Source organism: Homo sapiens, chromosome 6 (assembly GCF_000001405.40).
Source record: "Homo sapiens chromosome 6, GRCh38.p14 Primary Assembly".
Lineage (NCBI taxonomy): Eukaryota > Metazoa > Chordata > Mammalia > Primates > Hominidae > Homo > Homo sapiens.
In genome coordinates, this window is record NC_000006.12 from 133227755 (window position 1) to 133254756 (window position 27002).

Consider the following 27002-nt stretch of genomic DNA (forward strand, 5'->3'; position numbering starts at 1 on the left):
CCAAATCAGTACATTCAAAGTAGTAAATTTCAATGAAAAACTAAAAGTATCATTGAATATTTGAATATTTTGTATGTATTCTCTAATCATCCTAGCCTCTTCTCTCATCTATGTGACATCAATTAAGAGTTATTAAATTTAAAACTTGAACCGAAGTAGCATAAAAGCCAATTGTTTTATGAATACTGAGCCCTTAATAACTTTCACTTTGTGCACACACACACACACACACACACACACACACACAGAGAAAGAACCACCCCCTCCCTCCCTCAAGAAGCACTGCTATTCAGATTAAGGTATATCAGAGCAATTCTGTTGTTCCATGATATAGAACTCTCAAAAGGTATACAATCATGACTGCCCCAAAACATAGGAGCAGTGGCTTCAGGGAAACATAAGGAAGTATCAACACTATCAAGTTCTAAATTTGAGATTGGATTAATTTACTTATGTAACAAACATTCACTTGTTTGTTACAAATATTTTTTTTTGTACCTACTATGTACCAGGTCCTGAGCTAGTGTTAAATGACTATGGGTTATGGTTTCTGTCAAAAGAATTATTGTTAAAAGTGGGAAGTGGATATCCTTAGCTATGACTGCAACTAGAATCAGCATCTAACTACTTTATCTAACCCTACCTCCAGCTCCTTCTACCTCCTACTAATTGGGCAGCCCCCTTTCCAACTCCTCTTTCCCTTGATATGAAACCATAAAGATAAATTACCAGGACCACACATAATTGATTAGAGAGATTTGAAGATACTTAATAATGAAATTGGGCAATACAATTGTTGGACATAATATATCATCTCTCATTACAAACAGTTAAGGTGCTGAGTATCTGGCAGATGTCCAATATGATTCCCAATTACTGAAAAGTTTTTTGAGAGGACTCTCAAAATTGTAATACACTTATGAATCTCACTTCCAAATTATAAACACAAAAATGACATAAATAGCATATAAAATCGCTGGTAAGGTAAATAAATGTTGAAATACAAACTAATGTGGAGAAAGAAACATCCATTTTTATGCTATTGCTTTTGCTTTTTATTTGTTTTAGGAGCTAAATTCTTTCTGTATCAAAGATTATATTTTAGATAATAGAACTGAAGGTTTTCTTTTGACATAGATACTAACTGATATCTAGCTGGAAAACAGAATAGGATAAATGGCACATTTAAGGTTTGGTATCAAACAGTGTACTGGAATAAAGAATAGACATATAATATTTTGAATATCTAAAGGGAGAAGTGTTCAATTAAGTATTTAATCTTTGAGGTGATATTAAGCCACTCTACTTTGTAAGATGCCAAGTAAACATTCGGAAGAATGTTTTAAGGTGTGTGCATGAACAACTCTATGCAGGTGAATTTCAGGACGTAAATTGAAAGGCAGACTTAGCAGAAAGTACCACAAACAATACTTTGGGATGATGCCTTCTAAATTATTGGTTACAACCCTGGAGAAATAGCTATTGTAATGAGATGCTTTCCTGAAGACATTGGCCTAAGTGCTGGTGAAACCATCGCAAAGTATTTTGCTACTTCTTGACATTGTCAAGAAATACATTAGAAACATAAGAGAAATGGTTGCCATAGCCTTGCTCAGAATTATGGTTCACCCGCATCTAGAATGTGATAAGAGTTTTGGTGACCATACTTCATGAAAAATCTTAGGGGATTTGGGAAGATCCAAACAAAAGACAATTGTCTTTAAGGAGTTTTATGTGTATTCATTTCTTAATTTTATACAACAGTGAAGCTCTTCAGTTTCCTCACAAGAAAGTTCTGGAGGCCTTGTAGTAAAAGTTAATCAAGTAATAAAATCATGAGGAAGCATTTAAGAATATTACAATGAGGGAACAGTCTTTGCAAGAAAGGAAGATTTTTCAAAGTAAAGACTAACTCATATATAAGAATGGGTTATTAATAAAAAACTAGAATTTGGGGGTCAAATTAATAGGCAGAGAAGGCTGTTCTCTTTATTAGGCCATCTCAAATCTCAGGTTATATAGCAATTTTAAAAACGAGGAAATTCACAGATACTCATTTTCAAAATGGTGTGCAATCCTTCAGAATATAAAATTCTCGTAAGTACTAAGTTGAATGATCCCTTATGAGTTTTAACTTGAAAATTTACTTATATGTTACCACTACTTTAACAGATAAGCTGATGACATTAAAATAATAGTTTTGACATTGAATGATTTAAGAGATCTAAGTGAAATATGGATTGAAAAAATAGAGACACAAAATATTATCTTTTTTGTTTGATCAAGAAAGGCACCAAGGTACAATCTGTAGACTTCATAACAAGTAGTAAAGTTAAACTAGGAATTAATCTAACTAGTTACTCATGGTGTACAGACCAATGATAGCTATGAAAAGCTAACTCTTTCATATAAGCGTACACTTCAAAGTTACAATGAAATGAAAAAGAAACTAGAGCAAGTTTTTATTTGTTTTGAAATACAACCCTCAATGAGGCATTGTTTGCACATTGAACTAAATGTATAAACAGTGCTGTTGTGGGTTTAATTTGTGAAATGTGTGTGAGCCTTGATGAGCTGTGATGTTTGCTATTTGGAAATAGAAAACTACTTTTAATTTTACATACTCATCTCAGAATTGACCCAAACATATAGCCTGTGTAAGAGTAAATGAGACCCAGATTAAGATGGCATTAAAAAGCTTATAGTAAGGAGAAACAAAGCACAGTTTATTGCAGAATTGGAAACTACTGGTTTTAGCAACTGACTGGATGAACAGGGCCAAGGAATAAATGCACTTATTTCTACTTTTAGTGACTGGCACCCATTAACAGATAAAGGAACTTAGGGAGAGGAGTATCTTGTCTTGGGGAGGGTGGAGACAGACAACCATTTCTGTTTTTGTTATATTGAATTGTACATCTTCCTAGGCATAAATACTCTTCATGATTTCAGGCCAGGTCCAAATGATACCTCCTACATTCCTTCAGCTGGAAGCAAATTCTCTCTGCTCTGAACTAAAATAGCATGTTTGTCAATGTTTCTCTTTAGGAGCTCAACACTTTCTCCCCAATGTAATGACAATTTTTAAATGTTCAATTTTCTGCTCTAGACCAAAAGTTTCTGGAAGACAGGGACTATGCGTGGTTCATCTTTGTACTTCCTTATTTCAAATAAGCATCCTTGAATGCTAAGAGCAGAATGCTAAGGAGTATCCACCTTTAAATGGCCAGAGAGGATTTAAGTGAAAAGACAAAGAAAGAATGGTCAGGACGCTGGAGTTGACTGAGGCCAGAGCAGACCCACAGAAGCCAAAGGAGAAGAAAATTCCAGCATGAGGCTTGTCAGCAAAGAACTGGTCCTCAAGTAGGAGAACTGAGAAAATGATTTGCCAGGGAAAGAAGAGAGAAATTTGATATCCTGAAACCCAGGATGGAAACTAGGAAATAAATGCATTGCCACCAGGTCCTCAAGTTCCTCTGGATTGGTGTCCCGGGTGGCTTCCATCCTCACAGTTAAAAACAACTTTTTGGCAATAGGGCCAATTTTGGGGAAAAAAGTATTAGATGTTTATGGGTTTCTTTTTTTATAAATTCAAAATTAAAATAGCTTCCTTGACTCTCATGGGGACAAATAATCTATTTTTGTAATTTAGACTGCCTGCTGATTTGTTTTTGTTTTGCTTTTCCTTTTCTCTCAGAGGTTTTATTCCAAGATATGTTAGTTCCAAATAGTCCAAATTCACTTGATAGCCCAGATGAGGGAGATTATAAATGTGAAAATTCTCAAGGGATGCTCCTAGTGTAGGTAGATAAAGTAGCCATAGGTGTCAGTTGCTGTTAGTCCACTGTCTCTACCCTGGGTGGTGGTGCATGGGCTTTGCTGTGCATTATGGGTGCACTGCATGGGTGGTATGCACCATCATGGGTGGTACGATGGTGGCAGATGTTGACACTCCATGAGCAGACAGAGCATGGCAATACAGGGACTCAAGGCAGGGAGTTTTCATATTTGGAGTGCCTGGAGTCAGATGGTGGATCTGGCATTTGCAGAGGAGTTTTGCATTTCTTCTGTTCTTGTAGACAGAGGGAGGAAGAGGTCTGTAAGGGACTTGTAAACTTATTCTTAGGTGTGCGGCAACTACAGGGTATATAATCAGAGGAAATTTTAAGCTTTAAAAGTAGGTGTAGAAGGTGAGGCTTTGGAAACCAGGAAACCGCTACTCCAGATGCCAGCAAGTGGAGCCCTCTAGGGCAGGAGCTCAGACTGGCCCAGTGGCAACACAGTCCCCCTTGGGAAGACTGTCCCCATTCTCTCACTCTTGGATACCTGGGTAGACCACTGCTTATCTGAACATTAATGAGAAAGAAAAATGCTACACCAGTATAACCACTCTAATACTCAGATGAGGCAGAACTGAGGAGCAATAAAACAATGGCCTCCCTAAAGTTTCATCTCACATGTGTATATATCACTTTAGAAATTAAAAAGTCTCATTTCATCTTGAAATAGCAGCTTTAGGGATCATCTTCTCATTTCAGATGGGTAACTATGGCTCACTTTAAGTTAAATCACATTAGCAAGACACTGCAGCTAGGATGAGTTCACTTGGTTCAACACAATAATAATGAGTGCTTATTATGTCCCCAGCCCTAGGCGAGGCACTGTAAATAGAGAGAGGAATTAAAGGCAGCCAACCCTAATCCTTCCTATCTTAGTCTGTTTTGTGCTGCTATAACAGAATAGCTGAGACAGTGTAATTTATAAAGAAAGGAAATTCACTTCTTATTCTTCTAGAGGTTGGGAAGTCCAAGAGCATGGCAGCAGCATTGGTTGGCTACTGCTGAGGGCCTTCTTGCTGTATCATAACCCTGGTGGAGGGCATCACATGACAAGAGGGCAAGAGTGTGCTTGTTAGCTCAGGTCTCTCTTTCTCTTCTTATAAAGCCACCAGCCCCATCATGGGGGGCCCTACCCTTATAATCTTATCTAATCCTAATTATCTTCCAGAGAACCCTTTGCCAATCAACATAGGAATTTGGGGATTAAATTTCCAACACATGAAATTTGGGGATACATATCAAACCATAGTATTCTGCCTCTGACCCCCAAAATTCATGTATTTCTCACACATAAAATACATTCATTTCATCCCCACAGACTCAAAGTCTTAATTCATTCCAGCATCAACTCAAAAGTCCAAAGTCCAAAGTCTCATCTGTGAGCTTGTGAAATCAAGACAAATTATCTAGTTTCAAGACACAATGGTGGAACAGGCATAGGGTACACATTCCTATTTGAAAAGGAAGAAATTAGCCAGAAGAAAGAAATAAAAGGCCCCAAGCAAGTTTGAAAACAAGCAGAGCAGACATTAAATTTTTAAGCTGAAAATAATTCAGCCTTAAATGAATTATTTGACCCCATGTGCCACTTCCTGGACACACTGAGGCTGGGGGTGTGTCCTCAATGCATCAGGCAACCCTACTCCTGTGACTTTGCTGGGCTCAGCCCACATGGCTGCTTTTCACAGATTGGAGTCACACACTGATTCCTGCAGCTTTCTCAGGCAAGCACTGCATGTTTGCCAGTGGCCACACATTTCTGGAGAGTTGAGGGTAGCTCCAACTCTGACCCTACACCTCCACTCAGCATTGCCTTAGTGAGGTCTCTCAGTATGCTCTGCCCCTGTGACAAGCCTCTTCTTGGGCCCCCCAGGTTTTTCTATACATCCTTTGACATCAAGATGGAGACTACTATGGCCCCACAGCTCTTGCATTCTGCACACCTGCAGAATTAGCATCATGTGGACACTGCCAAGGGTTACTGCTTGCACCCTTTGAAGCAGCGGTATGAGCTGCATCTGGGCCAGTGGTATGAGCTGCATCTGGGTAGCAGGAGCCCTGAGCTCATCCTGAGAAACCATTCTGCCCTTGTAGGCCCCTGGGCTCTCTGGCAGGAAGGGCAGCTTTGAAGATCTCTGAAATACATTTGGGATCTTTCTCCCATTGTCCTGATGAATAGCCTCTGGCTTCCTTCTAGCAGTCTTAATTATTTTGTTTGTTTGTTTGTTTGTTTGAGATGGACTCTAGCTCTGTCATCCAGGCTGGAGTGCAGTGGTGAAATCTCGGCTCACTGCAACCTCCACCTCCCAGTTTCAAGTGATTCTCCTGCCTCAGCTTCTTGAGTAGCTGGGATTACAGGTGCCCACCACCATGCCTGGCTAATTTTTGTATTTTCAGTAGAGACAGGGTTTCACCATGTTGCCCAGGCTGGTTTCAAACTCCTGACCTCAAGTGATTTTCTCGTCTCAGCCTCCCAAAGTGCTGGGATTACAGGCGTGAGCCACTGTGCCCAGCCCTCTAATTGTTTTTTAATATTTTGAGGCTGCAAATTTTCCAAATTTGTATGTTATTCTTCACCTTTCATAATAAATTCTGTCTTCAAACCATCTATTTGCTCTGAATCTCATCATAAGTGACCAAAAGTCACCACGCAGCATCTTGAACATTTTACTGCTTAGAAATTTCTTCTGCTCGAAATCCTAGTTCATTGCTTTTAAGTTCCACCTTCTATAATGCCCCAGGACATGAACACAATACAGCCAATGTCTTCACTACTTTATAGCAAGGATGACCTTTGCTCCAGTTTTCAATACTTTGTTCCTCGGTTCCATCTGAGACCGTGTCAGAATTGCCTTTATTGTTCATACTTCTAGGACCATTCTGGTCATGACAACTTAAGTAATCTCCAAGAAGTTCCAGAATTTCTCCAGTCTTCTTTTCTTCTGAGCCCTCTCCAGAATCTCCTTTAATGCTCCATTCATAACAACATAAGCTTTTTATAGCCTGCTCCTCCAAACTCTTTCAGCCTCTGTCCACTACCTAGTTTCAAAAACATTTCCACATTTTCATGTACTCATTATTAGCAATAGCCCCACTTCTCAGTACCAATTTTCTGCCTTACTCTGCTATGACAGAATACCTAAGACTGGGTAATTTATTAAGAAAAAATGTTATTTGTATCACTGTTCTGGAGGCTGGGAAGTCCAAGAGCATGGCACGAATATCTGGTTGGCTTCTGCTGAGGGCCTTCTTACTGCCTCATAACATGGCGGAGGACATCCATTGACAAAGAGGGCAAGAGTGTACTTGTCAACTCAGGTTTCTCTTTTTCCTCTTATATTGCCACTAGTTCCATCATGGGAGCCCCCACCATAATAACCATATCTAATCCTAATTATCTCCCAAAGGACCCATCTTCAATTAACATATGAATATGGAATTTAAATTTCCAATATATGAAACTTGAGGGACACATGCAAACCATAGCACTTTCCTTTCTGCCTTTTTCTAATCCAGTCATCTCTCTTTTGTGCATGTAAAGCTTTCTGTCTCAGTGGATTATGCTCAAGCTCCCCTCTGGGCCACACACCCCAATCTTTCCATTTTCTCTTTTGAACTTATAAACTGCTTTGGAGATTATATTATGAAGCTAAAATTGCTTATCACAGATCTCAAATTATAGGACACAAGCAGACCACTTCATCTCTGCTAATGTGTAATAGTACAAAACAAAACATGGAATTGTAGAATACAAAAGAGAGACAATAAGCTTAGAGGTATAGCAAATTGCCCAAAGGGCTACATGAGTTGGCAGTCTCTCAAAACAAATGAAATACCAGAGAAGGTTTCTCATCACACTAAATGTTTGCTGCCGTATTGGCATAGGGTTATAAACTGGAGTATTTAGACATCCTTCACTTAAGCAACTATTTTATTTTTCTTAAAGAAGGACCAGCAAGAAGGTCCTCACCAGATGCTGGCCCTTGATTTTGTATTTCTCAGCCCTTGTAATAAATAAATTACTTTATAAATTACCGAGTTTCAAGTATACTTTTATAAGCAACAGAAAATGGACTAAGACAGGTGGAGAGGATGGGGAGTATGTTCAGCTTGAGATGCTACCTTGACCCTTTGGTAAAGATAACCAGGATTCTGGGAAGGACATTCATGTTCTTAAGTCACCTATTTAGAGGTGAAAGAAGAGATTATAGGATGAATCAAAGGAGAGAGCATTGTGAAGAAAGAGAAAAGAACCTGCATCTAGGTCCATTTTTGAGTGTCATTAAGAAAAAAGAGGATAAGGGCATTGGCTCATGCCTGTAATCCCAGCACTTTGGGAGGCCAAGATGGGAGGATTGATTGAGAGCAGCAGTTTGAGACCAGCCTGGGCAGCATAGTGGAACCCTGCCTCAGCAAAAAAAAAAAAAAGAAAAAAACAAAAAAACAGGTGTGGTGGCATGTGCCTGTAATCCCAGCTACTCAGGAGGCTGAGTCCAAGTTAGGAACACTGATAAATTGCAACGATCTACTTGTACTGAATATTTCTGAATAAGGATATTATAATATCAATGAAAAGTATAATGAAAGCTTTTCAATGTGTCTTCTTTCCACCACATTTAATAGTACACTTGGAAACAATTTCTTCAATGGTTTTCTATTTTAAGCATATATTCTCAGCAGCCCCAACACACCTTAAAATGACTTTTCCTGTTCACCTGATTCCTTTATTCCACCACTTTCTCAAAAAAACTGATCAGCCAGTTAACAGAAGACTGCTGTCAATAATACCAAATGCTTCCTGGACATAAAAGAGGCTGAAGATTCAGGAATGACTAATAGGAGACCATTGATGATAGCTTAAAGACAGCAGTCTCAGTAAAGGAATAGGAGCAGAAGTAATATTTCTAGGATTAAGAAGAGTCACAAAGTGGATGCACTGAGGGCTGGTCACTTTTTTTGAGAAAGTGGAATAAAGGAATCAGGTGACTATATGCTAATGAATTCAAAGGAACAAGAAAGTAATATTGTTCATATTTTGACTATTATTAATATTTTAAAATGTTCATTCAAAGTACTTGGGAGATTGATTAGTATGCCAAGAAAAATATTGTGTGAAGTGAAAATAGAAAAAGAAATTACATGTAAGTTGTTAGAATATGAAAATAGCATATGTTGGTAGGAATTCAAAGTGAGGCAAAAATATAATGCAACCGAAGAAAATAAATTCGGACTCATTCTAATATGTTAATGAGACCACACCTGGAACAATGCATTCAATGTGGGATACCTCTAACAAAAATGAACATCTAGGAAATTGGAAATAGTTCAGAGACAAGCAATAAGAATGATTATGGGTTTGTAAAGACTGAACTGCCACAAGATTAAAAGGCCTTCTATTTGTTTAACGTGGCTAACATGACTTAAAAGTGAGCATGATATCTGTTTATAAACATCTGAGGGCTGAGTGTAAGCATGGAAGAAGGAGTAGAGTTGCCTAATATGCTACTAAAATGATTCAACTGGAGAGAATTTTCAAGAGAAAATCTAAAAGTAAATATAATGAAGCTGTCTCCCAGAAAATGTGCATTTCCTTTCTTTCAGAGGCCCTGCCAAGAATGAGGAAATTTAGCAGGTCCCCTGAAGATTTGATTTCTTCACTTTCACAAACTAGTAGAAACCTTTTTAAGCTTGATCTGTCTGCACAAAATTACTCAGAAAGTGTGTTTATTTATAGATTTTAGAAAACCGGCAGCATAGGACTCTAGATTCTTGGGCAATCATATTTTATCTTCATTTATTCCTGTGGTCTGTCATCAGCAGAGAGGTAGATTAAAAGACTGTTCAACCTTGTTCACATTAAGGTTGGTCTTTAAAACTCCATACTTCCAAAGCTCAAATAGTTTGGCTTAGAATTTACTAAGAAACAACTGAATTATTGTATTTTTGAAAAATTGTGTATATTTCCAGCTAGAGTTCATAGATATACCAAAAGTTGCTCAAGAGATTTACTTTGGGATTATTTCTACAAGCATCCAGTTCTCTGCATTCTTTTTCAATAAATGTAGTGTCTTATAGCATTTTTTAGCCTAAAATCTGTTCTTACTAAAGTGAGGGCCTGGTTTTTCCCTTAAGGTTGCTTTTAAATGAAATTAAAACAAAAATTATGTTTTGGATTATGAGCTCCTAGAGCGCTTTGTTTAATTTGACTTATACAAAATCTAATGCCAAGACAGTGCCATGCACGTTTGAAAAATAAACAAATAGTAAATGGTAACTGCAGAGGCATCCCATTCCAGAGGAGTTGGTTAAGGGAATTGCTAATAAGTGAATCTTATATTTCCACTGATTTACCCTATAAAGTCTTATATTTTTTATCTCCCCACTCCTCCCAAAACACATCCCTTTTCAGACTGAGTTGAACATGTACAAATATTCTGAGAGCCTGACTCATGTCATGCAGGGCCCACTGGTGTTTTTGAATCACTTCAAGAATCTGGCAGCAGGTCTCTGACTTCAATTTCCCCCATGTGTCTTTCTAGGCCCTTTGCGTTTCTCCCACTGTTCTACTTTCCCTCTCTTCTTCATTGTCTGTACTGTATTGCACTACTGGGCTAATAGATGCTAGGGAAGGGTAATGAGTAACCGGTACAATATTTCAGGAAAGTGATTTGCTTTTTAATTGTGCATTTATGAATTGTTTGCATTTTACCACAAATAAGATAGTAAGTAAAACAATAAATAATACATGAATTTTAAAAAGACGCCTCAACTTCAGAGACTTCAAGTATATTTTAGACAAGAAAAGCAATAATTAAATAAGCACAGAATTTAAAAAGTAATACCTCAAAGTAAATTGGACACAACATTTTGTTCCGGTTATGAAAAGGGGAGGCTTGAAAATATCTCTTGGTGAGCCTGAGGGACATATGGAATGTAATTCTTTAAACCAATGTTTCTCAAACTGTATGTGAGATAATTTTAGGTGGTACATGAGAAATAACTTTTATTTCTACAATATAGGTTCCTTTGCAAGATCATCTTCTATTCATGGCGGGTTTTATTAGTTTTCCATTTATGGTGACTATAAAAAATGTCCTTTATCAGATAAACTTATTTAATAAAAATAGATTATTTAAAGATACATATTAAGTCAATAATATAGGCGATATGGCTATAATTATAAAAGTGATATTCAATGTAAATGCTGGAAATAAGGCCTCATTTAAGCAAACAATACATTTTTGCCTTTATAACCCTAAAATTCTGTTTCCTATGTTAAACTTATTTCAAATGTGTACTGAAAATTGACGTTTTATCTGACACCTAGTGGTGTCCATGTTAATATATGTATATTTAAGACAACTATTAGAAGGTAGTAATATGAAGTCAAATAACTAATATATTATCCTGGATTTTAAAAATAATTTCTGTACATGTATTCTTATCTAGATGTACAAAAAACTATGCAGGAGCAAAGTGACCTTGAAAGCAAGGTCAGTGTAACTGAAAAATCTGACTTTAGAAGGGTACAAAGAAACATGCTAAGAAAACCCACCCTATATTTATGTTAACAATATGCTAAAGTATGAATTTTTATTTTATTCAAATCATACATCTCCCACCTTTATTTGTAGGTGAAACTAGCACATAATGTTTTATGCCAAAATGAAATTCAAAATGTTGTTGCCTTTTGAGGACAGTATTAAATTCATCATTGTACTTAATCCTTACATGATATTTGCTATAGCCACAGAACATTCTTAGACACTATGATTCACAAAACATTTAAATTGCATATTTGGCTTGTAATATATTACATATTTAAAAGAATTACTATTTTTCTGAATACCATTAATACTAATAATAGCATCACAGTGACTAAGAGTGGACTTAAATAAAGGCTGGCTTGAAACTCAGGTCTGCCATTTATTAGCAAGCTTCTAAAAATTCTGAGCCCTTAGTTTTCTCACATGTGAAATGGAGAAAATAAATCTGCAAAATTAATTAAATCTGTCCATTCATATTTTTCTCTCCAGTGTATATTAACTGGCATTCCTCGTTAGGCCAGAATGTGCTCTCAACCATGCTCCAAATCCGCTTTGTGCCAACCCCACTGCCAGAACCCTTTCTACCTTGAGAACCAGAAAAGGAAACATTATGCCTGGCAATGCCTACACCCTCCAAAATAAATCTGCAGGAAAGAACACCCAGTAAGTGATGAGAGCAGCAACGACTGCCTTTATCATTTTAAATTTACAACACCACCTTTTCTAGAGCCTCTTAAGCATTGTAGATAATTCCCCACTCATTAAAAAATAAATTGTAACCATAAGTATTCAGGGTTGATACTGCTTTTGAATTAGACAGTGCTCATATCAGTTGCATAAGACCAACCTAAAGTAGAGGATGAAATCTTTTTTCTGAACCTTTTTCAGAACGTAACTTAGTGAATATATTAAAACTAAACTTTCTTTGAATGGGAGTAATTTCTACGGATTAATCTGTAATCTCTTAGACCACACCTAAGGTAATGTAGAGGTTGTTGTATCATAGGCTTTGTGATTAGAGACCACTGGATTTGTCTTTGGAAAAGTCACTCATGATTCTTTGGGCTTTGGTTTCCTCATCTTTTATACCGGCTTAATAATGACCACCGTAGAGTTGTCATGGAAGTTAAATGAACTCATGTACCATAAGTGACCAATACAATGATTGACACTCAGTGATTTATCAATAAATTAAAACATTTATTATCAATATGACAGAGAAGGTGCCGCTAAAATAGACAATAGGTTTTTGGAAGAGGTGATTAAATGGATGCAAAATTTATGGATTGTTTATTCCGTCTACCTTTGCTGTGTCCCCTGGTTGTGGCATACACACGTGTGGGTATAAAATCGTAAATCCTATGTAGTCGCGTAGTGCATGCGCAGAAGGCTTAGACACGAAATGTCATTTCAGCAATGTGCCTAGAGAAGCTCTGACGCCGCCTTGGAAGTAAGTCGTTGCTGCCTGACCTTTGGGCGTCTGGGACGGATGCCTATACCTGCACCCAGCAGCACTGGAAGGGGCCCAGGCCCTTCGCAGCACAGCCTATCCCCAGACCGCTTAGTCCTTCATAACATATATCTCCACGGAAAAGGGTATTTCCTCCCGTCAGAAAAAGCGCCCCAGTCTGGTCTGGGTTGGTTTTTATTTCACGTTGTTGCAAGTAGGCGAAGTCCCTTCTGTCTCCTCCCTTGGGGTAAGTGGAAAGGAGTCCGGCAGGGGGCCCGCAGTGGCCTGCACAGGGGAACTGGGTAGCGAGAGAGTTCCAGGCAATTCCGGGGGCTGCCCCACAGAAGCAGGTGGGGATCGACAGTGGCTCTCCGGCCCAGGGAGGAGAGCGCGGTCGCGGGTCCCTCCCCTCAGCCTGGAGGCTGCAGCCGCTCGAGTCGGCCCGGGTGGGGGCGGGGTGGGGGCGGCGCGGAGGGCACGGAGATTACGGCGGCGCCACCCGGGACATCCAGGGCCCCGAGGCCCTGGGCGGTCCCCACGCGAGATCGCAAACCATGACAATAGGCAGTCACCCGAGGTCAAATAAAAACGGAGTGGGTCCCCCGCGCGCCGCCGCCCCCCGCGTCCCTGGCGGCCTCCCCCGAGGCCCCCGGCGGCCTCACGAGCCCGCAGTAGCCGGTGGCGACGTCGCCCCCGCCCCACCTCCCTGCGCAAGTGCGAGGCTGCCGGCAGCGCGGCGCACGCTCCGGCCGTTCCCGGCTTCCGCGCAAAACTTCCATCCTGTCCACGTGAAGTTGTCGCTGCCTTAGAGAGGGGGAAAGAGCTGCGGGAAAAGCCGGGGAGTGACGACTGCGGCGGCTGGGCGCGCTCTCTCATTTTCTTTTCTTCTCCTTTCCCCCCTGTCGCAGTCCGGAGTTTTGGCTCCTCTCCTTTCCTCCTCCCCCTCGGAGCCGGCTTCTCCCTCCGCCCCGCTTCTCCCCCGCTTGTGTACGCTATTTGTTGTGGGGTGGCCGAAGGGGATGTCCTGTTTTCACCAGAGGCACAGCGCGAAGGGGAAACTTCGACACTGGAAGGAACGAGAATAAATACTTAATTACGGACGCACTGAACCGCGGCTGGGACAGACACTTCGGGAACCCGAGGCGGACCGGGCGACGAGGTGAGTGACCCCTTCTTCCAACCCCCGCCCCAGGGCTCCCGGGGGAGCCTGAGTTGAGAGAACCCCCAAACTTTCCGGGAAAGTGCGCGAGGCTCCGCCGGGGACGCCGAGCGCTGGGTACTGAGGACGCGCAGCTGGACGGTGCGTGGGCGCCTGCGTCCCCGGGGGGCGCTTGGAGGCCGGGTGCCCCACGCCTGAGGGCCCGGGCCGCTCGGACCGCAGCGGTGCTCTCTGCCCTAGAAGACGTCCCCAAGCCCCAAGGGTCCCTTCCGAGCCTGCCTGTCCCTTCCGGGGTCGGCGCGGAGCCTGCGCGTAACGGAGTTCATCCAGCAGTCCAGCGCGCGGCTTCTACCTGCACCCCGCCTCCACCTGGCAGAGGCGCGAGCATCGGGGTCTCCCCCACATCTTTCTTATGACGTGTATTACTTTCTGATGACCCCCTAGATGGTCCAGGCGCGAGGATGCTGACCCAGAGTCCTTCGGAGGGTCACAGGCGCCTGGGCTTTCCCGGTGCCGGGTGCGTGTGTACTTTAAAGGCTCGCGTTCTAATCTCCAGGCACTGATCGGGCTTTTCAACTGCGGCGATCCCACTTTAATAGTTTTTATGTGGCGTGGACTGAATGTCTCCTGCAGTTTGCCAGGGTCGGTGAAATTAGAGGCGCCTTGTCAGAGCAGTCGCGTTCATTGGCTCGAGTAGCGGGTGCCATGGAAGGCTTATAACTTCTCCAAAGGAAGGGACCTGGCTGGGTAGAGCAGGTTTTTCTCTCCTTCCAAGCCTGCTGGGTCTGGGGAGGCAGTGGAACTTGAAATGGCTCGGATTTTTAGCGTGGTGAAGCGAGGTTTGGAAGTAGACGTGTGTGTGCTTGTTTTATTCTGCGCCGCACAGCAACCCGAACTTTCGTTTGGTAGCACTTGAAAGAGTTTTCTCCCTTTGTTTGCGAGATTCTGAACAGCTCGGAGCGATTAGGGAATTTGCGGACCGAGTCCGGTGGCAGAGCTGGGGCGAAAGCAGAGAGCGCAATTTAATTTTTGTCATCTCTTCCCTGCTTGGGAGGATAGTGTTTCCCTTCACCACCACCCCTCTTTCTCCTTCCTATGAAGACAACGGATTTGCGCCTGGGGTGAGAGTGTGTGCGGGAGAGTGGTGTGGAGACTGTCCTCTCTCACCGCGTCTCCTGCGCCTCTCCCCGCCATCCCGAGCGGGCCTAGAGAGTCATTCATGAATCTTAACCTGAGGGCAGGGGAGGAAGGTGCAGGTCCCTCTGCCCTTTCTGCCAAGGTGCAGAATAGCGCCCGGGCGTGTGTTTTGGTTCCAGAGCAGTTCCACGTGGAGCAACTTCGTGTGTGTGTGTGTGTGTGTGTGTGTGTGTTGTGTACTTGATCTGTGAGGAGGTAACAGGACTCTGGTGTTCAAACCCAGTGGGCCGTTGGCCATTAGTTTGCTTTCCTGGCTGTCATTACAGACACTTCCAAAATCTGATACCTAAGAGAACCAACAGGTTAGGTTTCACATTAAGGGCTCATACTTAACAGTTTTCTTTCTCCCTTACCCCTTTTGGCTTGGCACCCTGGGATCAACGTAATTGTTGGAGCGAAATACACCTCCTGGAATATGGCATTTTGTTCCTCTTCTCATCTGTGGCCACTTTGTGAACCCTCGGGTGTTTGTCAGTTTCAGTGCGGGCTCCTGCGGGATTTAGGTGGGAGTCTTAGGAGCGTTTAACAACCGCGGGCTCCCCATCAGCAGCTTCTGAAGTTTCACTTACACGTAGGTGACTGACAGGATTGAAAGTTGACGATGGTTTTTTTGTTTGTTGCGTTGTTTTTGTTTTTAAAACCTTAGGGAAGGGATTGTACTTGAATTCCTTTCCCGGGTACGGTTTGGTTTTAAGCAGAATCAGTGCCTTTTTTTTTTTTTTTGTCTTTTAAAATATTATTGGCAAGCTTAAACCTGAAGAACCAAAAACTAGAGGGGGTGGGGAGAGAATCCCCCCAAAAAATATTTGATACGTGATACGGAGCGTTTTAGGAGACTGCATTCAAAGACATTTGTGTATTTTTAAAAATAACATTATCCCAAGAAACAAAAAGCAGTAGTAACAAGAGACAGATTGTTTTGTGTGGAGCAAGACTGCCAGAATCTGATTTTTATGGCAACAATATCGAAAGCAGACATAACTACACCCACATTTATTGTTATAAACCGTAAAAATAGTTTGTTCCACCTGATTAAAAGTTGTAAGTCATTCAAAGTTAAACCCGTATTTAGGAATGACTGTACAAGAATGTTAAAACCTTTGACAGCTACAGCTTTGAAAGCAACATAATTAGATTTGTTGAAAATGTCTCCTTTCTCTGATTATTAGTGATATGTACTTGTCTTTCATAATAAGTAAAGGTCTACAATCAATATGGTTTTCAAAAGCCTGTTTTCCTTTGTAAATTTCCTGAAAATAGTATGTTTCAATATTTAAAGACCATTGTAACTACCGGTTGGTTCACAATTATAACTAAAATAAGATTTACTCAGTTGTTTTCTTTTTATTAGTATTTGTTGAATATTTGAAATTGAATTTCTCATTTCCAAAATAAAACGTCTCACATATATGTATGTACTCACAATTAACACTTCTTTTAAGTAGTAGGCTTAAGTTTTAAAATTTTTAAAATCTTAAGATTTGTATAAAAAGGAGTGATTGTATAAAAAGGAATAATAATTATTAATTGTTAAGAAAAATAGATGCTGAATTTCAGAGGGTTTCTAGAAGCTGGAGAAAAAAATTGCATAGAAGTTTCTTTTTTGACGGGTGACTGGCAGATGAGTTACTTGTCATTTTGCTATAATTTATTTTTTTCTTTTAATAAGGCTCTTTGGGTTAAAAAAAAAAAAGGAAAAACAAGTACTCCATTTCTAAGAGTTTCCTTTTTATTTATGTTGTACTTTGGGGTGTAAATAAATTTTACATAGCCACGGGAAATAGAGTATCCAATTTCATGTTTTCAGTCTCTGTTGCAAGCTCTAAATGACTGATGTCGTGTCTAAAAATATATTTATATGGCTTGATATTTCATTTTAACATTTTATGCACTGGAATTAGATTTTTTAGGATTTTTAGAAAGATAGAATGACAGAAAGACGATGACTATTGTTATAAAAAGTTAGAATGTTAGGAAGTTCACATTCTAACTTTCAAATAATCAAACTTATTTTGCCCCACAAAAACTCACAGTTTTTATACAGATTTCAAGAAGAGGGGTGATAATCTTTTTCACTACTTAGTTAAGTGTTAAGTAATTTAAGAATGCAAGTATGTATTATGCTTTCTCATTATCATTTTTTTCTGTTAGGTAAATGCAAGAACACTGGACATTCTGTAAAAACAGGCCCCTCTTTATAAGGAGTTTATTCACCATAGTTCTGTATTGCAGCTGCTGATCATATTTCATGGAGCTGTTAAAGCACTTAAAACCTAAAATTAGGTACTGTCTGGTTGTAAATATTTCAGATCACTTATTTAAGAAATAAATAGAAAAGTGTGCTATCAAAAGTAGGAGACGTTTTGAATCCTCTCATTGAAGAGCTGAACAAACCTCTATCAAAACACCTTCTTCTTTTTTCAGTGAGAATATAATCTTGACAGTTTCTTTTTCTAAATGGATATTATTCTTACATGTACTAAATGCTAAACTCTTATAACGTGCCTCCCTGTAGAGTATCTTAAACTAATTATATTCAGAAATACAGTTGGGGGATTTTATTACAATGGTTACTAGGTGAAGGAAATCAACACCAGGGGAATGGGGTGGCATTGCAGTGTACCTGCTTCTCTCATGAATTTTTCCTGCTAAACTAAGAAATGACATGCTGTTTCAGGCATTTGCCCTGGAGATGGGTGAGATGCAATATGTGTAATGCTGCATCTTATAGTTAGATGTGTTTTAATGAAGGGGACACTGCATAGTCATTAAATCATTTTTGGAGCCAAACTTGGCGTCATTTAGCTTGAACTTAAGTGGAAGAAAATGAACAAGAGTTACACATTCAAAAGAAGTACAAGCAACTTTGATTGCTTTTAAGAGGTTTGAAGACTTTGTAAACATTACTGTCACTCAATATTGCTTGTGGAGCTGTACATTAATATATGCTTTGGTGATATGTCATTTTACGCTTGAAATTTGTCATTCTTAGTGTTTCTCCATCCATCTTTTTATTAGTAAAGAGATACTGAAAATGAACACTACTATTCTTACTCCCCTAACCCCTTTCACACCTCCAGAAAAAGAGATGAAACTGATTAATTTAAAATAGAAACCATTTTGTGTTATCAAAACCACATTTATATAGTGATTTGAGACAGTTTCAGAGAGTGCACCTCTGAGTCTCACTGTAACCTTTTTTGTCATTGAAAGGTGCTAATTGATCTTAGGGTACTGACACAATAGTATAGTTTGATATTTGAAACCTTTCAGAGTTGGTCTGGCCCTTTTCTTACCCTGAGATTTCAGTGCATGGATGATGAAGAAAGACACCATTCTAAAATACCAGAAATTCTCATTTTTTTCCAATATGAAATGTTTTAATACAGTATGTTCATATTTTTAAAGCTTTTATTTACATACAGTAAGTAAATTTATTTTAACGTACTTTTGGACAGTAGGAGAAAGACCTATATGTTCTATCGTGTTAGAATTTTTTAGTTTTTTTTTTTCTGCACAGGTAGTTTATTTAGGTTATAATTTTTAGGCAAAGTCTGATTCCTATTATCACATGAATATTTTCAAAGTGAAATTGCGTTAAACCAATGTGGAATAGCTTTTGTATCACCAAGGCATATATTAATGTAGATGTCAAATATGAGAGCATATTTTCTTGAGTATATTTATATCCTAAAGTGTATTTTTAAATAAAAGTGGTCACTGTAGTCTTTAGATAATTACAATTTGGCTGTCATTATTACTATAATATTAATCACTATCACCATCATAACATCATAGCTAGCATTTACTCAGGAATTTCGTGCAAAACACTGTTTTAAGCATTTATATGGATTAGCTAATTTTAATCTTCTTAACTATGCCGTAAATTAGGTACTTTTGTTATTCCTATTTTACAGATAAGGAAGCTGAGACCCAGTCATGCAGCACAGTGGAGCCAGGATCCTAACTCCCCAGTATGAGGCCAGCACCCTTATCCTTAAGCGTGTGCTGGGCTCTTGCTTCCATCAGTCATATACCACCATTTTTAGGTGGTACCTGAACATTTTGTTTTAATAATACTTATATTTTATGTAAGGATAACTAGATATTAGAAAAATTTGTTAAATTTTGTATTAAACCTGTAACTTCATGGGCAATATTGTTTGAGACAAGACCAAACAAAGTATTGAAGTCAAAGAAAAAAAATTAAGTATCTGAAGAAACGTATTAAGTAACAGTGAACAAGAATATGGCCTAAATAACCACAGTCATGAAGGCTGGACAGCAAATGACTGAATTTGGAGAAATGCTGTATTTTGTAATGTTTCCCAATTATCAAGAACTTATGACCAGATCTTTTAAATATTTAACTAACATGTGGAATCTTCCTTTGCTCTTCAAGCCTTATCCAAATTGGTTAAATGTTATCAACTTTGTATTTTCTTTGTTTTTGTTTTTTGTTGTTTTAATGCTGGTTTTGAATCTCAAATCTGCACATTTATGTTGAACCAACTAATAAGGCTTGAAGAGTTAAAGAGTGCATGATGGACTTCTGGAGGCAGGTTTAAATTATAATGGAGCTGCCCATATTTTGGAAATACATTCAATTTATCTGGTTATCGCATGTGTAAGGTTTTCTGTAGGTAAATACTTTTGCTGTTAATAACCTGTTTTACAATTTTATAGTATTTTTCCACTGAAGCAGTGGTTTTCATTTTTTTATTTACTTATATACTCAGCCACGGATCCTTTCATTTAAATGGAAACTGATGATATGCCCAGTAGAGAAATGTGCCACTGCTCTAGGTGAAGCAGGATGTAGGTAGCCTGAGAATGACTCACCAACAGTACCCTCTCACGGTGGCCGCCGCCTCTGGAGTTCTCTCTAAGTGTCTTCAATGTATGGAAACTGCTGCAAAAAAATTCAAGTCTTCTGACAAAAGGGGTTAATTCAGAGTACCTGCCCTAACATGTTCATGTGGCATCACTAAAAAACAGACTGTCAGATACGGTAAAATATCTCCCAGTGTGACATATCAGCAGAAAGGTGTGTCTACTCTCCCTTCTATAACTTGAGTATCCGTATTAACCAGTCTTCAAATTCGATTTAGCACTGAGAAAATTAAAACTGATCAAAATGTTCCCTGTGTGTAGTTACAGGTCTGAATGAGGCACAAAGGACTTGTACCTGCAAAGGTTGACTTTATTAATTAGAACATCTTTCCTCCTTTAAAGACTGTAAGAAGAAACACCAGCAGTGGCCTAACTTGACATGACTTTAGATTTTCACGTAAATTATTGCTACTATTTCTGTTATCCTTTCCCCCTTTCTTTTTAAAATGAAAGGGACATTTCTTGTGAAAGACTACAATTAAATCATAAAAATTTACATTCATGTGCCATTAAGTTTAATTCTACTCACAAAAGCAACAGTACAGAGTTTGAAATTCTATCCCTAATCAAGTAGGTGTACCACATACCGGGAGGGCTCATTATGCACAAGGTCATATATACAATTCACAGACCTCTGCATATACCCAACGGAGTGATCTATTCATTACATTTCACCTCTGACTTTGAACTCCCTAATGTTAAAAGATTTGAAAAGAACCGAATGTTCTGATTAAGAGATTGAATATTTCTAACTTAATGTTTTCAGTATGTTGAAAGTGATGATGACTTGGGGGAATCAGCAGATCTCTACATTACCTAATTCTTTTCTCTTACATTTGAATGCAAATGTATATTCATGTGCGGTTATGACTCAAGTCATTCTTGCTAAATTTAATGACGTTGTAGGTGAATCACATTCAGATTTCCTTTTGCAGGTTTTCCAGTAATCTAAAACAATGCTTCTAGTAGGTAACTTAAGCATGCAAACCTCAATAAACCTGTCAAGAACGGCAATTCTACTGTTTTATTTTGTTTTTTTTTTTGTTTGTTTGTTTTTGCATTAACTTTAGTTGATAAGATGATGGTACTGTTATTTTTCTTAGTTGACTCATGAAGAATTTTAATTTAGGTCTAGTTTTTTCCCTTAATTGTTGACTTTAGTTTTTAAAGGTTTCGTTCATGAAAATGGTTAGCAAAGTTGTGGGTACTTGGTAAATGCTTGTTAAATGCTTTTTCCTTATCAGTGTTGCTGAAGACTTGCAAAATTAGAGTGGGATGGATAGATTTCTTTTCTACTCTGCATGGCTTTGAAGACTTTGGAGCTTTTATTGTATTCTTATATTTTTACATACCATTCCCAGGAATATTTAGAGAGAGAATCATTGTAACCAAGGTCACAGGTCTAATCCTCAGGTATTCAAATTAGCTTTAGGTGGACAATTGTCCTATACACACTTGTTCGTATTAATGTTGTCATAACAAATATAGTTATAATATCTTGATGCCTCTCCTGGGGGCCCATTCTGGACTGTGTTGAAGCTGTCTCTAACACTCTCTCACGTCCCTAAGATATTCAACCACATTTGTTCATGATTTTTATGAGGTCCCTCCTGGACTTAAAATTCCTTAAAAAATTTGCCTGCTGCCTATAGGGCAAATTCCAAAATTCTCTGCAGGGAAGATAACCCTTCATACTGAGAACCTTGCTCAGGTTGCTCTTCTCATCTCTCACTCCCCACTCACAACAACTCTCTTTTCCAGCTGTATGGAAAACTGCAGTTCTCAAATACACCTTGGACATTTCCACTTCATTTCTTTGTGCGTGGAATGCTTTTTCTCTGGAAAACATCGCCCCTCTCCCCCTGCAAATATCTTTTCTACTGCTTTTTCAATACTTAAGGTGCAAAATGTTAGCTCCTCTGATAAGTTCCTCTGACCTCCAGAGTCTGAGTTGAACGTTTCTTTCTTGTTACTCCCAAAGCATCCAGCTTCTACATTTAACATAGCCCTTGCCACATTGAAATGTAATAGATTACATTAGTCTAAATCCTGCTTTAAGCTGAGAATTTACTGGAAGGATTAGCTGTATTTGTCATTTCTGTATCGCTAATGCACAGTGCACTGCTGGACATATAGTCAGTAGGTAGTTGTTATATTCCCATTGAATGAATGAGTAGAGGTACTGGGAATGAGAGCAGAGATTGTGACACTGAACATCCCCTCCTTGAGACTGGGAACAGTGAGAAGGGCAGTGACTATTACAAGGTGGGACTACCTCAATAACAACCTCAGGGAGTTTTGGTATAAACCCAGTAGAATTGCAGCTGTGAATCCAGGCTTAGGTTATATGTATGTATACGTGAATGTAGAAATGTGTTTATTTCTTACCACTGGGAAGTCAGTGATCTGGTGGATAAGCCAAGGATCCTGAAAATCTCTGGAGATACGGTAATTTCATAGTACTTGAAATCTGAGAGACTCAGTTCTTATAGCACAGTGAGTAAGTAGAAAGAATATGGGGGCTGGGCGCGGTGGCTCACACTTGTAATCCCAGCACTTTGGGAGGCCGAGGCGGATGGATCACCTGAAGTCAGGAGTTCGAGACCAGCCTGACCAAAATGGCAAAACCCCGTCTCTACTAAAAATACAAAAATTAGCTGGGCGTGGTGGTGGGCGCCTGTAATCCCAGCTACTCGGGAGGCTGAGGCAGGAGAATCACTTGAACCCAGAAGGCAGAGGTTGCAGTGAGCTGAGATTGCACCATTGCACTCCAGCCTGGACAACAGAGTGAGACTCCATCTCAAAAATAAATAAATAAATAAAAAGGAAGAAGAATATGGAGCCAGGCACTTGGGTTCAGACCTCAGCTCTAACATTGATGAGTTTGTAACATCAAACACATTACTGAAACAGATTTTGCTTCAGTTTCTCATGTGTAACAGAACATGCCTCATGGGGTTCTGATGAGAATTCAATGAGTAAATATATGTAAATATATTTAGAGTAGTGCTTGATATGAGTATCAGTTGTTATTACTATGATTGGGTATCTTTCATTAGATTACCCCCAAATGTTCCAGAGATATTTAGAGCTGAAGGTCTTTTTTGGGGGGCTATGGATTGGTGACCATAAATGGAGTGTCCAGTAGTCCAAGTATAAATTAGATACTGTGGGTCATCTTGGCAAATCTGAGGTTGTATTTGGAGCCTTAAGAGAAGACACTATAGGTGCTCAACAGTTGGCATTGGCCATTTACGTTGTGCAGTAATATTTCTTTTAGTAAATATTTCCGCATACAGTAATCTAGATTGTTTTAGAGCTTTAATCTGTGTGGTTCCTTAACTACTTTAAGCAATTATAAGCACGTTGTATAATGGTAGTACTTTATAGCCAATATTTAAGTTTCCTCAGTTGCTTTTTTTTCAGCCGTAAGGTACCAATTATGAGAATTTGTATAATTTTCAATAGTCAGTGGGCCTGATGAACTCAATGTAAACTTTTTAAAAGGTAGCTTTACATATTGCTATGATTCTTACCTTTAGAGAGACAGTAGGAGGTAATTAGTACCTCTACTTACAGAATTTATCACTTGGATTCAGATATAATGGCTATGTGGCAGGATGGGGCTGAAGGAAAAAGGAAAGTTAAAATATTAATTGTCAAGGTCTCATTTTTACAGCTTGTCTGGAACTGCTACCAGGTGTATCTGTATAGTTTTAAAAATGATAACGTTGTACCTGAATTCTTCAGTATATTTAAATAAGAGTTTTTCAAGCTCTGGTTATTGACATTTTGGGCTGGATAATTTATTCAGGGGATACTGTCCTGTGCCTGGTAGGATGCTTAGTGGCATCGCTGGATGCCAGGGACCCTCCCTCCCCTGGTAATGATGGTGTCTCCAGACATTGTCAGGTGATCTCTGGGAGCAAAATTGCCTCTTCTTGAGAACCCATAACCTAAGCAGATCTTAATATCATTTGATATAGTCAAAAAACTCCCAGGGCTCTGCATAAGAGGATTGTTCTATTTCCAGTCAAGTGTGGAGAATCCTAATACCTTCCTCCCAAGTTTAAACATGAAGTCAAACAATTCTCATTAGTCTGTGTTGATAGATTAACTTTGCACAGAGGGGATTTACAGATACGCTTCACACAGATTGACCATCTCCAGCATATTTTCCTTTTCTGGAAATAATATATGAGTGGGAGTAACAGAATACCTGAGAGAGAGTATGTAGGAAGTAAATATTTATTTGAATCATCTATGTGTCTTTTCTTCCGGTTATTTGTCAGTAGATAGTTTGGATTTATTTTTAAATAATGACCATTGCCTTTCCATTTCTGTGGGTAAATATTCAGTAATAAGAAACTTTTATTTTATTTAGTCTGTAGTGTTAGAAAAGGTAAAGTTACTGATAATCACAACTGCTGAAGATTAAAATACTTAGTGAGTTAAATTATTTGTTTGTAATGAGAAATTTTCAAAAGAATTATGTGTAGCTTTCAGTTGTAACCACAAGTTCAAGATCTTGAGTTAATAACATTTGTACAGCTAGAAGAAAGTAAAAATAAATATATTACATGTAAAAACTCTCTTTTGTGAATTCTCAGATCCAAACTTTTAAGTTCTCATTCTATGGGTTTGATGTTGACCAATACATTTTATCTATGAAATGATATATAATTGATGTAAGTAAATTTGACTGTTGTTTGGGCACCACCCTTACATAATTTAAGCATATATGAAACACATTTCAAAAATCACTTGAACAAAATGGGAACAATAATGTTCACATAAAGTGAGAGAGGATAACTTTTCCCATATGAGTTTTGGGTTGAATTTCAAAATTATTCTGAAATATGAAACATTAATATTATAAATATATGATTAGACTAATTTTCTTAAGAGTTCTAAACAGTAGATAATTTTTATCTTATTAGAAATTGCAAAGATACTTGAAATTCCACACTTATGCATTGTCTAATTTAGTGGTTGTACTTTAATTGTATTAGGTAGATAATCATGGAAGCAGTCAGACTAACCTGGAGATTTCACATCATTTACTAATTGATGCCTAAGTAGGCAGGGTAGAGGTACTTGAAAACACACACACACACACACACACACACACACACACACACACACACACACTCACTCTCTCTCTCTCACTTCCTTTGATTTGTGCTTTAATTTTGAAATGTGTGCTTAGGTGGCAAAGGGCTGCAAATACAGCATACTGTGTTTGACCAAAATATTTTTCTGTTTCCTAGGTGGAGAAGGACCCTGCATAGCTCCTTGTTAGCAGAGAGATAAAGTGGGTGCTGGGCAACCCAATGACAGGTGGAGGCCGTTCTCGGGGAGTGTTGCGGAGAATTTGAGACAGGGGTTTAAATCACAGATAGTGGAGGAGAGTTCTGCTTCATTCATGGACAGGAAGTCCAAAGAAGGCACAGCGAACCACAGGTCCATCCAGGCACTTTATGCCAGATATTGAACGGGAAGCCTAGTAGCCCTTTAGTTACTGGAGAACGGCCAAAAACCCAGAGGTTCTATTTTTCCAAATGAGCACTTCCTGGGTTCATAAATCAAGGAACCCCACAGAGTATTCAAGTCACATATCTCCTTTCTCAGGTTGATTCTTTGTATAGTGGGTCCTAATGTGGTAAGACTTACTTATGAACATTTTATTTCTTATAATGCCGTCAGTCACTTCCTTTTTTCTCCCTGGCATATTCTCACCACCCTTATCCTCCATGGCCCCAACTCCCTTAACCTACTTGCCTAGTGCTCTTTTGCTGCCTACCTGGACAAAATAATAATAATAATAATAATCTACTCATCTTTCAAGGCTTAGCTCAAATGTCACCTCCTCTGTGAAGCCTTCCTTAAGGCTCAGGCAGAATTAGTTCTTTTCTCTGTGTAATACCATAGCACTTTTTTTGGACTGTTAATATAACAGCAGATTGTGTTGGGGCTCATTGTATGTGTCTGTCTTCTAGAGAGACTATGAACTCACAGAGGGGAGAGATCATATCTTTTTCCCTCCGTAACCTCAACACCTGGAGATGTTAATGGAAATTAAGTGACTGCACTATTCCATGCATATCTTTAAAGGGCATTAGGTCCCAAACCAGACATCTGCAAAGGATGAATCCTGTTAACTTTTTGGAAAACTGGTTCTCTTTTGCTTGTGGTCATGAAAGCTGGTTTATTGGTTATTTTCTACTCCAACTTATTTAAAGCCTCATTTGTACCAAAGTATTACTGATTTTCTAGTGGAAAAACAGGTATGTCCGGCGTACATTGGTATTTTCAATAAACTGACATTTAAAAGACAGATTTCTCGTTGAGGTTTATGGTCTTCATAATTCTAGTTTTCTCCAGAAACAGACCTTGATCTCTTTGGTTGCCTTCTGCTAAGATCGATTTCATGTTATTTTGAAGAATTTTTAACCCTCAGAATTATAGATTTCATTTGAGAGAAAGCATGTTCTGTATTTGTTTGTGTCAGTGTTTCAAAATGTGAGGACCAAAAATCCCAGATGTATCTATTAAAAATATACGTGGCCTTTTGCTGAGGGAAATTACATCTTTTTTTTCAGGCACAATTGAGGAAGTAAAAAAATTTTGTTTAGTTTTTAGTGGTTTGTTTTTAGGCATTTTCCATACAAAGATGAGCAAGACCCTTCAAAAACCACCAATTTGCTTATTTAGGGGGGAAAGTCTTCCTATGTCCAGAAATAACATTAAATTAAGATTATTGTTTCCAATAGTTTCAAAAATTGTGGTTTTATTTTCTTGTATGAGTCATTTTTTAGCATAGTGCAGTACATGATTGCACTACATCATGACAAAGCATATTTGCTCTGTGTTTCAGTGGGTCACTTTATTTATCAGCGTCAGATGATCAGATCAGA

The 27002-nt window shown here is 38.9% G+C and overlaps 2 protein-coding genes across 31 annotated transcripts in view, besides 2 other annotated features; one reads left to right on the forward strand and one right to left on the reverse strand.

Moving 5' to 3' along the window:
- On the reverse strand, nucleotides 12566–25840 carry LOC124901231 (serine/arginine repetitive matrix protein 1-like). The gene is made up of 3 exons (XM_047419612.1): nucleotides 25759–25840; nucleotides 14465–14657; nucleotides 12566–13902 (listed from the first exon to the last, which is right to left on the reverse strand). Exons 1-3 carry the CDS (start codon nucleotides 25838–25840, stop codon nucleotides 13032–13034), a joined length of 1146 nt encoding a protein of 381 aa, XP_047275568.1. The 3' UTR covers nucleotides 12566–13031.
- Nucleotides 12839–27002, forward strand: part of EYA4 (EYA transcriptional coactivator and phosphatase 4) — a 291536-nt gene continuing 277372 nt past the window's right edge. For 20 of the 30 annotated variants that reach the window (XR_001743219.3, XR_001743220.3, XR_007059221.1 and 17 more), the window contains exon 1: nucleotides 13603–13995. The gene's annotated coding sequence lies outside the window, so the exon portion shown is untranslated. Of the gene's footprint in view, nucleotides 13084–13602; nucleotides 13996–27002 lie in introns of those variants that run through there. The other 10 variants (XM_017010368.3, XM_047418278.1, XM_047418275.1 and 7 more) reach the window with 1 other exon arrangement.
- Nucleotides 13946–14840: an enhancer, noted in NCBI's record as "H3K4me1 hESC enhancer chr6:133562838-133563732 (GRCh37/hg19 assembly coordinates)". NCBI's record gives its function as "activates a minimal SCP1, AML or CMV promoter by ChIP-STARR-seq in primed H9 embryonic stem cells {active_cell/tissue: H9 hESC(primed)}" and the evidence as "EXISTENCE:reporter gene assay evidence [ECO:0000049][PMID:30033119]".
- Nucleotides 14841–15733: an enhancer, noted in NCBI's record as "H3K4me1 hESC enhancer chr6:133563733-133564625 (GRCh37/hg19 assembly coordinates)". NCBI's record gives its function as "activates a minimal SCP1, AML or CMV promoter by ChIP-STARR-seq in naive and primed H9 embryonic stem cells {active_cell/tissue: H9 hESC(naive and primed)}" and the evidence as "EXISTENCE:reporter gene assay evidence [ECO:0000049][PMID:30033119]".